Source organism: Homo sapiens, chromosome 10, assembly GCF_000001405.40.
Source record: "Homo sapiens chromosome 10, GRCh38.p14 Primary Assembly".
Classification (NCBI taxonomy): Eukaryota; Metazoa; Chordata; class Mammalia; order Primates; family Hominidae; genus Homo; species Homo sapiens.
The window spans coordinates 38,139,218-38,154,153 of record NC_000010.11 but is presented as its reverse complement, the minus strand read 5'-3'; the positions used below and the strand labels follow the sequence as shown (position 1 = coordinate 38,154,153).

Below are 14,936 nucleotides of genomic sequence, written 5' to 3'. Positions count from 1 at the left end.
GGCCATCCAAATTAAAGACCTGGCAGTGGGATAAGTTAGCAACTGAGCTTTCTGTATGTTACCTTATTAACTTTCTGTATATTAGCTTATTAACTTTCTGTAATTAGATGGTGATTAAGCATTTTCTGAGCCAAAAGCTTAGTATAATTTGAATGTAGTGAAAAAATGTTATGAGTTTAACACTATAATTTGAGATCTAAAAACAAACAATTGCATAAGAATTGGTCAGATACCTTGTCTTTGAAACATACTGAAGTCTTTGAAATTAATCTGATAGCTCTGCAGTTGGTATGATGCATAAGAAAATATTTGGCATGAAGGGGAGTAACATACCACATGTATGTAAGTAACAATGGAAAAAATGTTAACTCTAGACTTACTGAATAATTACTCTGGAATTCATGTGTAGAGAAATTCATTATGAATATACATGGCAAATTATTAACAACCTTCCCAAAAGCAGAAAGCTCATACTCAAGAAGATTCATTTAAAGGGAATGATTTGGAAGATGATTTCAAGCGCAACTCTGCATTGACTCAGCATTTATTAAGTCATACAGCAGGCTGCTGGAGGCCTCACTGCAACCTGGCTGGCGTACAGTGTCCTCCTCCTTCCTTCTCAGTAGACTTCCTTGGCCTTGATAATAATGTGTGTTAATGAACACAAATCTCAAAATACATGCAACTTTCCTCCCCCACAAGCCAAGGTATCAGCTCTGCAAATCAGATGACCTCAAGGTCAGTGGGAGTGACCAGGGACACCGCCCTGCATTCCTCCTCAGCTTCCAGATCCTGAGGAGCTCTGGGGCCTGCCTTCTGGACAGGGAACATGTCTGTCTGGCTTCCTCAGCCAAGTACGGGAGGCTTTGGGGACCTGTGTCTGTCTCTGGAAAGAAGGAAGGAGCCTGTGGCATCTTCACTAAGCAAAAGCACATCCAGCCCATGGCCAAACTTCAGAGTGGGGAAAGGGGCCCAACACAGCTCCTCCGTTCCTGCAGCAGAGCCCAGAAAACACATCTGATGTTGTGGCTGCCTCAAACCTCCAAACACCATGGGCTTGAAGTGTCCTTGTTAACGTGGCCATGGCCACTTTCCCCGTGGTCCATGGTAAGTTTTGGTTTTTGGTTTTGGTTTTTGTTGTTTGTTTGAGATAAGGTCTCACTTTGTGGCCCAGGCTAGAGTGCAGTGGTGCAAACTTGGCTCATTGCAGCCTCCACCTCCCAGGCTCAAGCAATCCTCCTGTCTCAGCCTCCCAAAGTGCTAGAATTCCAGGCTTGAGCCACCACTCCAGGCCTTGTGTAGAAGTATTATACATTATCTTTAAAACATAGTTTAGTGCTAATAATCTAAAATTGTGTTGCCGTTTACTATTAATATGCCCTTTGTGGCACATCTAATAAAATGCTTTGCTTCATAACCTGAAACAAAAAGTTCACTACATTTCCTTGATCAGATCAACAACTATGGAAGTCTTAGAATAATGATATTCTCACTCAAAAGAAAAGCAACAATCCGTCTTTAATGAAACTCTTTCTGTGTTTTATTAGTGGTTGAGAAATAACAGATCCTTCAGCAGTGGCAGCAGTAAGATAGCATATGAATTTTTTATTTTTATTTTTTTACTTTGATAAACCCTGAGGCTCTGTTGAGGAAGAAGCTTCCACAGTAGGCCCTAGGAGAGCTGCAGCCACCATGGCCATACTGTGTTAGGCACAAATAGGAATGTAGTTTCCCAGAGGAAACAACTTCCATGGGTAGATTTGTGATCAAAGTTTGTAGAATAGCTTTAAAAATCCTTAGGAAGGCCAGGCACAGTGGCTCACATCTGTAATCCCAGCACTTTGGGAGGCTGAGGCAGGCAGATCACCTGAGGTCAGGAGTTTGAGACCAGCTTGACCAACATGGAGAAACCCTGTCTCTACTAAAAATACAAAAATTAGCTGGGCGTGGTGGTTCATGCCTGTAATCCCAATAATTAAATCTCCTGTAATCTCAGGAGGCTGAGGCAGTGAAGCAGCCTGCAACATGCAGGAGCTCAGGGCATTGCCACTGCACATGGGGCACTTGGTGGGACTTTGGCAAGGATTTCGTCATTAACACTGAGCAAAACTCTATGAAGACAGAGGCATTCTTTTAGATTAAAAACTAACAACATAAGGCGGGGTGTGGTGGCTCACATCTGCCATCCCAACACTTTGGGAGGTCAAGGGTGACAGATCACTTGAGCTGAAGAGCTCAAAACTATCCTGGGCAACATGGCGAAACCCATCTCTACTAAAAATACAAAAATTAGCTGAACATCATGGTACACATCTGTAATCTGAGCTACTCAGGAGGCTGAGGTGGGAGAATCACTTGAACCCAAGAGCAGAAGTAGCAGGGAGCTGAGATTGTGCCACTACACTCCAGCCTGGGCAACAGAGTGAGACTCCATCTCAAACAAACAAACAAAAACTAAAAAACAAAAGATTGAATATACAGAGTTTTCTCCAGAAAATCTTCAATTTCTATAGATAATCTTCAGTCTTCTATAGAATAAAATGAAAGATTACAAAATTGAAGATTAGAAAATTACATAGAGAGCTGGGCATGGTGGCTTACACCTGTATTCCCAGCACTTTGGGAGGCCAGGGTGGGTGGATCGCCTGAGGTCAGGAGTTCGAGACCAGCCTGGCCAACATGGTGAAGCACCGTCTCTACTAAAAATACAAAAACTTAGCTGGGTGTGGTGGCGGGCACCTATAATCCCAGCTACTTGGAAGGCTGAGGCAGGAGAATCACTTGAACCCAGGAAGCAGAGGTTGCAGAGAGCAGAGATTGCACCATTGCACTCCAGCCTGGTCGACAAGAGCTAAACTCCATCTCAAAATAAATAAATAAATAAATAAATAAATAAATAAATAAATAAATAAAAAGAAAGAAAATTCCATAGAGAAACAGCTATTTCTCGATCTTCTTGATTCTTGTGCTCATGACAAGACTGCAAGTTACTCAGTTCCACTGTCTTTTGCATCTGTGGTTGTGGTTGAAAGGAATGGCCTGAATCATGCACCTCGTAACTCACAGAGTGGCCCCATGCATTCCAGTTTTCTTTTTTTCACTTAGATTCTGAATTACCCATGTAGTTAAAGGTGTTTTGTTATTCTTCACAATTCTGTCTGTGGCTAATCTTATGTTCATGGGATTCATTTGAGTCTGGAACATGTCCCAGATGGCAAGATGCAGCATGTCACAATATTTTCAAAATCCATGAACACAGTTGTTTGGCAGTTCCACAGTAAATAAGTATTTGGAGTCTTAAGCTATTTCTTTTAAATATGTTCAGGTACTGATAGTGACACTGTTGAGTTCTACTTGAGCCCTGAGGCACTGGGAAACAGTGATGGTTAAAGAAATCACCACCTTGTGTTCCTGCCTTACTGCAAAGAACTTCCCTTCCCCATTGACTTAGCTAAGACTCACGGATCCCCCTCAAAGGATGTCCCACCTATGACAAGGTTAGACACAGACCCCGCAAATGCTGTCTTTGTTTCATGAAAGTTTAGCTGAACTGCTTGTCCCCACGGATGCATTTCAGGATAAAATGCTAATTAACTCAGCTTTGATATGGGCTTTACCATGTCCTTCAGGACCTGCTCATTAGTTAGAGACCCCTTGGACTGCATAACTTCTTCAAAGACATTTTATTTTATGCTTAATCATATAGAAATGTAATGATTTGATAGATTAACCAATGTGGTTTTCCTCCCTTGTTCTCCAGTTGCCCACTATTTCTCTCCCATTTAGTCTAAACCTTGGCATCTCCTCTTTCAAAGGGGAAGTTTTAACAAAAGGACAAAGAGAAAGAAAAGAGCAGACACTCACATTTTGAGTTTTAATAAACTTGGCAGAATGATGACACAAGAGTGAGTTTGTCCCATCCCAGAGCAGATGAGGAGCTTCTGAATGAGAGTGGGGAAAGGGATGGTGCTGTTGACACTCGATGGTGATTACACTCATGCAGACAGGAACCTTGAGTGGTGGGGGCTGAAGGTGCTGAGCGCAACGCCCCAGGCAGACAAGAAGAAACTTGCAAGTGCAGGTACAAGATGAGGAGTCACAGTGAAACTTATCACAACATTCAACCTCTATTCAGGAAATACTTCACAACACTTACCAGGTACTTTTCTAGGCACTGGACATAACGCAAAGAATAAAGCCATAAAAAAAATTCTATCCCCGTGGAACTTACAATTTTGTGCAGAAGAGCAAATAGTTCACTAAAGAAATTAGCAAAACCGGGCATGTGCGGTGGCTCACGCCTGTAATCCCAGCACTTTGGGAGACCAAGGCGGGCGGATCACGAGGTCAGGAGATTGAGATCATCCTGGCTAACATGGTGAAACCCCGTCGCTACTAAAAATACAAAAAAACTAGCCAGGTGTCGTAGCATGCACCTGTAGTCCCATTTACTCGGGAGGCTGAGGCAGGAGAATGGTGTGAACCCAGGAGGCGGAGCTTGCAGTGAGCCAAGATCATGCCACTGCTCTCTGGCCTGGGCGACAGAGCTAGACTCTCTCTCAAAAAAAAAAAAAAAAAAAAAGCACAACTGTAGAATGTTGGAAGGTGTCAAAAGTTATGGAACAAAATGAAGAAAAGCGGATAGGGACTGCTGAGGGGTGGGCTACAATCTGAATTGGGGGTTAGGAGGGGATGGAGTGAGAATGTCCCATTTGATCATAGCCTTGATGCATGTGAGAGAGCCTGGAGGAGACAGTGGGCGAGAGCCTCCCAAGTGGCTGTAGCAGGCTGGGTTCTGCATTACATAGGGCACATTAAGTGAAATGTGATGGCTATTTTGTGTAATCCTTTAAAATCCCAATAGAATTAGCACTGTCTAGGAGGACTACACTTTGAAATAATATTTTCAAAAATAATTATTTCAAAGAAAGCATAGCAGTTGCATCCTATTGAGAAGTGGGAATATTGGATAATAGGTTAAGCTATCATTTTGTGTTAGAATATTGAAGCAAATATGGCTTGGTGTGGTGGCTCACATCTGTAATTCCAGCACTTTGGGAGGTGAAGAAGGGTGGATCACTTGAGGTCAGGAGCTCAAGATCAGCCTGGCCAACATGGTGAAACCCCGTCTCTACTAAAAGTACAAAAATTAGCCAGTTGTGGTGGTAAGTGCCTGTAATCCCAGCTACTGAGGAGGCTGAGGCAAGAGAATTGCTTGAACCTGGGAGGCAGAGGCTGTGGTGAGCCAGGATTGTACCACTGCACTCCAACCTGGGTGACAGAGCAAGACTCCATTTAAAAAAAAAAAAAAGAATATTAAAGCAAACCATTAAAAAAATTGCAAAGTCCCAGAAATGTGGCAAGACAAGCAGACCTATTGATGGCCATAATGAAGCCCTGTAGATTTCTCAGAGGAGCCTCCATGTGTTAGAACCATACCTAGGGCTGCAGCTGGCTAAGACATTCTCCATCAGCCTCTGGGATCAAAGGCGGGGTGTTAAGGTTGTCTGGATGGGGCCATGAGCCTCCCTCTCAGTAAAACACAAGCACAAGGGCTACATCCCTCTTGGTTTTTCATAATGTAGGAACACAGGCAGAGCTTAGTGTTCTCAGAGCCTCTGAGATCCTGGGCAGAGTGTTTGGTAAGATGCTGCAGATATTTCCTTTAAAAATAAAAATCCCCTGGTAAATGCTCAGGCATCTCAATGGCCACACCAGCCCTCGTCTGTGTACCCAACTCTCTTCATTTGGCTCTGTTCCCATGAAATTCTCCATGTGAAATCTGGGAGGGGATTGGACAGTTTGCATAACTTAGTTGATGACTCTCCTACAATCTTCTAGACTTCACTAATCTTTGAGACTCTTCACCCACTCATGTGACAAAGTCACCTAATTCTGTAAATTTGGGCCAGTTCATTTTTCTAGATCTCAGTTTGCTCATCTGTATGCAAGAGGTTTAGTGTAGATAAACCAAGGATGCCAATATGCCTGTCTCTCCAGATGTTCAATAACAGAAGAGAATAGGAGCTGGGGGCAGGGTGCAGTTCCAAGTCCCAATTCCATGCCTCCAAGATCAGCTGTTTGTCTTTATTCATCACCAGGCATGCATCTCCTTGATACCCTCAATATCTAGACATAAAATGTGACATGACAGATTATCTATGTGTTATTTTCTTCTCCATTCCTCATGACTTGTATTTCCTTAACTCATCGAAATCAATTTTCCACATTTTTTGAAGGAGAGTCTTTTGACAAAGATGTGAATTATCTACAAGCAACTGAGAGAAAGGCCTATTGTCCTCAGTGTGCTGGTGATAAATTTCCAAATGATGAATAAAAGATTTCCTGTGGCATCAGTTTCCTTGATGGTGTCTTTATTTTCTTTTTTTCTCTTGGGTAGAAGGGAATGAGCAGAGCAGCTATGCTTCTGGGTTTGTTTTGTTTGTTTTTAGCTTATGTACAAAAGCAAGCTCTGTTTTTCATTGAAATATCTTTTTTCTTGTATCAGAGATGTGTTGTAAAAGACTCATTGTGGGTTCAGGGAAGAATGTTTTAACATGCAAGGAAATGTTGCAAAATTAGAAAGAGGACATAATTCCACAAAACTAAATAAAACTGGGGGAATTTTTAGGATACTCTGAATAAATCTTATTATTTGCATCCCACTAACCCCAATCAAATAATAATTTAGATTTGTTTTATTTACTAAACTGCTAATACACACATTCAGAGGTGGTCCAATGCAGTCCCACCATAGAAACCCTTCCCATGCTTAGCCACTGTTGTCATTAATCTCTCCAAACCCAAACGATGGTTTAAACACAGTCGTCCCTTGGTATCCAGAGGATTAGTTCCAGGACCCACTTTGGACACCCAAATTTGCTGGGAACAGGCCCTAAGCCTGTCATAAACAGGCCTTAAAGAAACTGGCCATAAAGAGGATTTCTGCAGCAATGTGACATGCTCGTGATGGCTATGACACACACTGCAAGAAGTTGTTGGTTTACTGGAGCAGGGCAAGGAACACCTGGCCTTCCCAGAGCGGAAAACTGCTCAAACCACAAATAGCATGAGCAGCCTGTGCCTTAACAACATGTTTTTGCTGCAGATAATCAGCCAGAGACTGTTTCTCTGCTCCTCGCTAAAAATGCTTTGTTTCCCGTAAGGAATGCTTTTAGCTAATCTATAACCTATAGAAACAATGCTTATCACTGGCTTGCTGTCAATAAACATGTGGGTCAAACTCTGTTTGTGGCTCTCATCTCTGAAGGCTGTTATCCCCGATTCCCACTTTGCACTTTATTTCTGTGTCTTTGTCTTTGTCTTCATTCCTCTAGTGCCGCTCGGTTGGAGTCTCCACGACCGAGCTGGTCTCGGCACAAATCCATGCAGGCCCAGGTCCTGAAGTCAGCCTTGTGGAGCCTGTGGGTAGGAAAAGTTGACCCTCTGTGCATGTAGGCCTGGAACCTGGCCAATACTGTATTTTCTTGCCACATTTGGTTTCAAATGTGGAAACTGCCTATATGGATCTACTGCATTTATTTTTAAAAATCCCCTGAAAGTAGACCTGCACAGTTCAGGCCCAGATTGTTCCAGGATCAACCCAACAGTAGAAATCAAGTATCTTTGTCATTGTCTCTCGGGATCTGTCTTTTCACCAATAAAATATGAGGGCTTAATTAATTTATCCCTAAGTCCAATCTAGCTGTTTATCAATGGCCTCATAAACTATTAAAACGCCTGTTGTGGGTTGGGCATGGTGGTCACACCTGTAATCCCAGCACTTTGGGAGGCTGATGTGGTGCGCTGAGATTGTGCCACTGTACTCCAGCCTGGGCAACAAGAGCGAAACTCCGTCTCCAATAAATAAATAAATAAAACACCCTTGTTAAGTCTCAGGGAAATGTGCCTGGAAATGTTGTTAAGTCGCAGGGAAATGTGCCTGGCTCTGTCTTCTCCCTGCTTGGGTTGTTCAAATTATGCCAAGATAAGAGGCAGTGATTTCAATGAAAGAAAAGTATCTCACAAGCTATTTTGTTTCTTTCTTTTTGTTTGAGACAGAATCTCACTCTGTTGCCCAGGCTGGAGTGCAATGGTATGATCTTGGCTCACTGTAATCTCTGCTTCCCAGGTTCAAGTGATTCTCCTGCCTCAGCCTCCTGAGTAGATGGGATTACAGGTGCCCACCACCACGCCTGGCTAATTTTTGTACTTTTAGCAGAGATGGGCTTTCACCATAGTTGACCAGGCTGGTCTCGAGCCCCTGACTTCAGGTGATCTGCCCGCCTCAGCCTCCCAAATTGCTGGGATTAGAGGCATAAGCCACCACTCGCCCAGCTCACAGTCTTTAGTCTCCTCTTGAGAAAAACAGTTTTATAGATATAGTCTCACTCAGCTGGTCCTTTCTGTTTTCTTGAGGAACATTTCTGGTATTAGTTTTTACCACAGTAAATCTGCCACAGTGACTGAGCCCCCAGCCAATATGAACTGTATAGGCACATCCATTGTTTTCCGCTGCGCAGTGACCCATGAACCAAAGGGTGAAAATGGTGCCTGAGAAGTTTCTTTATATCCTTTCATTTGATAGAAAAGACCCCTAGTGAGAATGTATAGATAATATGAAAAATGTAGAGATAATGTGAAAAAATAATAACAGGTCCATTGTTAGAAATTTCCCACACATATTTTAAAGTATAAAATGCCTGGCAAGAAAATTATTAAAGGGAAATGACACATGTGGAATTCAAATTACTCTCGGAGCACTCACAGCCTCTCTTAGTAGGTACAGTGAGCTAGACACCCTATCAAGACAATTTGTTTCTTTCCTAAATTTCAAATTATATTAGTGACTGATTTTATTATAATAGTCACAGGCAGTGTGAGTCAAAACTATTTCCATAGCCTCCGTAGAATTTGTGGCATTCTGATCCTTTTTTTCCCTGGATCCGCTTTTATTGTTGTTCATTTTGTTTCGGAAAATGGGGAGCGTGTGAAAATCAATAAGGCTGTTGAATTTGTCTCCTGTATGTTTAGCATCCAAGCCGTTCAAAACTGCCCCAGGTGTGAAGGAGTGAGAAGGGATTTGCATTTCTGCCTTTCTTTTTAACTTTCAATGTATCTGCTGTCAAATCTCCATATGCTATTTCCCTCACCTCCCATTTGGAAAATTCCTATATAAATCCATCATTTTACTAAATGCATTGTTTTAGAGCTTAACTGACCCAGCACTATATATGTTGTAGAATCCGGATGACTTCCAGCCACCTTCTTACCTCTGATTCTTGAGTTTTGTATGCAGCTGGGTAGTGCTGCATACGAGACTTAGTTTAAACCATGGGGGTGGTTTAAACCACACCCATGGCATTGGGTTCACTGCTGGGAACATTAAAGAATTCAAGATTCTATTATGAGATTATTGAATTTTTTCAACTTCATCCAAGCAGACATAGGTAATTGATGTGCAGAAATATTTCAGAAATTAGGTCAGCAGACATTCAGTTGTCAAGGGGTGCCACCCACGTGGGCTCCACTGGACACTCAAGCCATGTGTATTCATTGGGTCTTTGTGGGCTTGACCCCTTGTTGAGAAGCTGACACAGCATTAGACAACTATAATAAAAAAGAATTAATTCATACTATATTGCATCATGAATCTGTGGGTCATATTATTCCAAAATATATATTTTATAATTGTATTTGACTGTGAGAGAAATTAATGTACCCATGTATAAGTATATACTGATTAAAACAAAAATATACAGACAGTAAGTTTATTTTTTTGAGTATGTGATTTTTTAAAACAGGGAAGTCACTGGTTACATTATATAATTTTAAACTTTATATCTTAGAAGGTAGTAAGAAGTTCTAGTATCTTTTCTTTCTCACAGACACTAAGTTCTGGCTAAATACATTACGATACAACTTTTAACAAAAACATTACTGCAAATACATAGTAATGTAAATCTCAGTTAAAAAAATAAATCCTTAAATACTATGATCAAAACACTTTGAGAATTTCAGAGCTGATTCTATACCTCGAAGAGGTTTCATGACTAGAAAACTTAATTGCAATAAAAGACACTTCCACAACCCTGTTGACCTCTGCAGCCCAGTGATGTCTCCTCTTTCCCCCATCTCTGCTCACAGGCGCCATGTGGACCATGGTTCTCAGGGCAGTGCTAAAGCAGTCACAGGTGGAGGCTCCCTCCAGGGCACTAAAACTCCCATCCCTGGAGTGTGCAGCCAGTCTTGGGCAGCTCCACACCCCAGCTGACCTCACTTACTATTGCCAGGAAAAAGTCCTGTTTGTGGACTTCTTGCTGCAAGGGGTGACTCACAGTGCATGTGATTCCTCCCATCAGACAAACTGGCCACACTCTGCGGACAGTGAACTGCATGTCCAGGGAGCATAGGCCAAGGTTATTCACATGGAGCTTAAGTCAAAGCCCTGGCTGAGCTCTTAGTGTCTGCCATTCTTGACAACAGAGCAATGAAGGGCTCCTTCCTGACAGTTCATAAATGCTCATTCACACCACAGTGAGATTTTGCTACTAACACCATGTCTTCATTTTCTGAAAATGACCTATGTGTTTCTTTTCATAGACTTCACAATCAGGAGAGAACAGGTAATTAGGGTGGATTGGGTCTGGTGCAGTTCTTTCCAGAGATGAGACTGGGGACCAGATATGCCTCCTTACTCTTCAAAATCAACCTCATGTAAAACATCAATTTGCTGTCTTTAGATGATCTCAATATGTAGCATGCAGCTGCTTCTCCCTGGTCCTACCAGCCTCAACTTGGTATAGCCCTTAAATATTTATTGAAATTATTACCATATCTTTCCAGTGAGTCCCCCAGGCCTTCCAGATTATCCAAAAGATTAATCCTCATAAATACAGACAATCACCTTAAAATACAGCTTCCATCCAATTCTGTCTGGTTTCAGAAGTGCTGGTGCCTTACCTCTTAGGTCAAGTGCAGAACCCCTGCCAGAATTTCAAGAACTCCTACAGCCTGTGCTCACCCTGTGTATCCCAGATCCACACTGTGGGCTGCCAGGGGGACCTGGGACTCAAGGAAGGACACAGCAACCTTCTTAAAGGTGTGGCTAATGGAAGTTCTTAATTCAGAAACAAAATGATAAAATAAGGAAACATAACATCAGGAATGAAGAAAAATAGAAATAATAAAAACATGGATAAACACGACAGACTGGCCTTCTTGAGTTTTTCTAAACTGTGTTTGATGATTGAAGCAAAAATTACTCCATGGTCTGATATAGTTCTTCATGCATGTAAATTATGTTGTAAAGTGAGAAGGAGAAATGGGCCTACATGGAGGTGAGGATCCTCCACATCACATGGCAGAATGTGGACACCAGTGGGCTGCAACAAGTGACGTGCATAAAATGTCACACCTGAAGTAACAGAGGATCTAGAGAAACCCATACATTCTAAAACAGTGTAGATAAACCAAAATGGAATTTAAAAAAATATTACCTTCTCTCAGCTAAAGTGGAATCTGTGTTATTCAAGGCAGAACCAGCCTGACCAATCATGTTATACATTGGCTCAGGGGCCATGCTCAGGGTTCCCAAATGATCCTGTACCTGAGTTGTACCTGAGCAAGCTTGCGGGGTCCACCAGTGTTGTACACACCCCCATGTAGAGAACAATGAGAAGTTCTATTTTCACAATATAAGCTTGGATCTATGTAAACATTTTGTTTTAATAGTGTTTATATTTTCTGATGGTAAGAGTAGATATGAATTAGTGTCCTGTGAATCATCTCACATTTATCATCAGAGCAGTAGAAGCTTGTTTATATTGTTCTCTCTGCATAAATATATATTTTTTGTTCTTCCTGGGGTCTGGCCTCAGTTCCCTTATATGCTGTCTACTCTATCCTGAGGCTGTTCCCCAGACATGGCCCAGCCCTGGCATTCTGCTCTGCTAGAAACATATGACAATGGTGCCAGAACTTCTCAGACTTCCTTATTAAGACAAAAGAGAGCCCTGCTTCCCTGCTCCCCCTTTTGATGCTTTAGCCTCTTTTATTTTTCTCTCACCCAGGCTGGAGTGTAGTGGCGCAACCTCAGCTCACTGCAACCTCCACCTCCTGGGTTCAAGCAATTCTCCGGCCTCACCCTCCAAAGTAGCTGGGATTATAGGCACTCACCACTATGCCCGGTTACTTTTTGTATTTTTAGTAGAGACAGGGCTTCACTACATTGGCCAGGCTGGTCTCAAACTCCTGGGCTAGAGTGATCTGCCCACCTCCACCTCCCAAAGTGCTGGGATTACAGGCATGAGCCACCACACCCAGCCCGCTTTAGCCTCTTTCCTGATTTAAAAAATTTTTATTTTGAAGTAATTTTAGATTTTGAGAAGAGTTCCAGAGATAGTGTGGATGGTTTCAATATGCCTTTAACTTCCCCTAAGGTTAACATCTCATGTAACTATAATATATTTAACAACACTAAGAAGAATTAACATTGGTATAATACTATAAGTAGACTATACAATTCATTTGGATTTTGCCACTTTTCTATTATTATTATTGGTTCCAGGATCCAATACAGGGTACTGTGCCATGTTTGCTCATCATGATGTGTTAGTGTCTTTGACTCTGTGACAGTGTCTCAATCTTTTCTGTTTTTCATGACCTTGGCACTTTTGCTGAAAACCAGTTGGATATGTGTGGAGTTCCCTTGGTTTATGTTTGTCTGACTAGACTAGGATTATGGATTTGAGGGAAGAATGTTGCAGAGGTGAGGTGGCCTTTTCATCACATCCTATGGGGATAAGGCATCACTGGTGACATGAACCGCAATCACTCGGTTTAGCTTGTGTCTGCCAGGTTGCTCCTCTGCGAGGTTATTTTTCCCTTCCATCCTCTATATGTTAAAATTGAGTCACTAAATCCAGCCCACACTTAAGGAGAGGAAAATTAAACTCCACCTCTTTAAGGCAGAAATAACAATATATTTGTGAGTGTATATTAAAACAACCATGGTAATTAGTAAATATTCGGTTAAAGATACTTTCAGGCTTTGCAAATACCCTGTTTCCTCCTCAAGTTTCACCCACTAATATGGGTCCCTCATTGGATCTTGCCAACAGCCACTATCACTATAGTGTTCTAATGGTGATTTTCTTTGCCCTCATGTTTTCTACATAAATTATTTGAAATTCTTCCATGGGAAAGATTAGTCTCTTCCTTCTCATTCATTTAATTAACAATGTATTTGCATAGTATGGACTCACGTCTCTTTATATTTTACTTTGGATTACGACGCATGCCACATCCTTGTGTTTTGAGCACTTTCTGGCCTGCTGGCACATCAGGATGCTCCAGGATCATCTTATGTTTTCACTGCCCCAGTCCTAGAAGCAAACATTGCTCCAGAGATCTGAATCATTATATTGGAGAATGTTATTTAGAAACCAAGATTTATGCTCATTGCTTACGGGATGCATGTATCTCTTAGCAGACAGAACAAGCAATAGTGTGTCCTAACCCATGTATATACATCATCTATCAATCTCTATGTATATGTATCTGTCTATCTATCTATCTGCCTAACTACCATCTCTCTGTGAGTCTATCTTATCTACATATCTATCTGCGTATATATTGATATTTTTAACTCTAATCTGGCACCACAGGATTTTTTCTAGTCTTGTACCCTTTCTAACTTATAACTTCCTTCTGTAACAGTGAGGAATCTAGCTCACATTCTCTACAACTTATTCATTTTCTCTAGCCTAGTGTAAATGAAAATGAAAAGTAATGTCAGAATTAACTTTTGTCCCTGTGATAAAATTACCAACTAGATACCGTGTTTACACACAGCTCAGTTTGTGTAAACCTTATGCAGTCAAATTACCATTTTCCAAAGTTAGTTTGGTCAATTTCTTTTTCCTCTTGGAATACATTAACCTGGTTGGTTGCTTGTTTTAATAAGCAAAGAATAAAGATCAGTGTTTGTGGTGTAGCATTTGGTAGTGTTTGACAAACCTGTAGAGTTATGGATCCACGATCCAGTACAGCCATAGCAATGATTATAAAATGTAAGTTCTTTTATCAAGGGTACAGCAAACTTATAGGACCACGCAGCTCTAGCTAACATTTGCAGGTGAAAAAGAGTGTAGAGTAAACATCAAACTGCAGTTACCTCATCTGTAACAACTAAAAGCATGCTAAGATGATTATGAATACATGTGCCAGAGGAGAGAAATTGGGTTTATAAATGAAATTCAAGTATAACTCCCAAATGGGAACCAAATTCCTGGGACTACTTATTGCACTAGATTTGGTACGTTATAAATAAATATGAATAGATCAATGGAATTTTTTCAATCAATAAATTATTAATTTTGAGACACCATCAATATTTTCAGAGGCTTGAAGGAAGAAAAATAGTAAACGAAATATGCACATTTAAAAACTCATACTGACTAGCAATATTAACTATGAAAAATATGTCAGCTGGGTGCGGTGGTGTACACCTATAATCCCAGCATTTTGGGAGGCCGAGGTGGGCAGATCATGAGGTCAAGAGATCCAGACCATCCTGGCCAACATGGTGAAACATCGTCTCTACTAAAAATACAAAAATTAGCTGGGCATGGTGGCACGTTCCTGTAGTCCCAGCTACTCAGGAGGCTGAGGCAGGAGAATCACTTGAACCCAGGAGGCGGAGGTTGCAGTGAGCTGAGATCATGCCACTGCACTCCAGCCTGGCAACAGAATGAGAATTCATCTCAAAAAAAGGAAAAATATATCAAACCATTGAAGAAATACAGTTAGAGGTTCAACACAGTGATCAATAATCAGATGATTTTAGTTGCCTCATAATCAGAAAAAAAAAACACATAATAAGGACAATAATGAACAGAAATATCTCTGGAGGAAAGGAAGCAAGAGAATGAGGA

The 14,936-nt window shown here is 41.4% G+C and overlaps 1 protein-coding gene across 3 annotated transcripts in view; it reads right to left on the bottom strand.

Moving 5' to 3' along the window:
- Positions 1–3,860: 3,860 nt before the first annotated feature.
- Positions 3,861–14,936, bottom strand: part of ZNF37A (zinc finger protein 37A) — a 55,957-nt gene continuing 44,881 nt past the window's right edge. For all 3 annotated transcript variants that reach the window (NM_001324257.2, NM_001324256.2, NM_001324258.2), the window contains one exon: positions 3,861–7,422. In NM_001324257.2, coding sequence (NP_001311186.1) covers positions 7,334–7,422 — 89 coding nt within the window. In that variant the 3' untranslated portion in view covers positions 3,861–7,333. The remainder of the gene's footprint in view (positions 7,423–14,936) is intronic.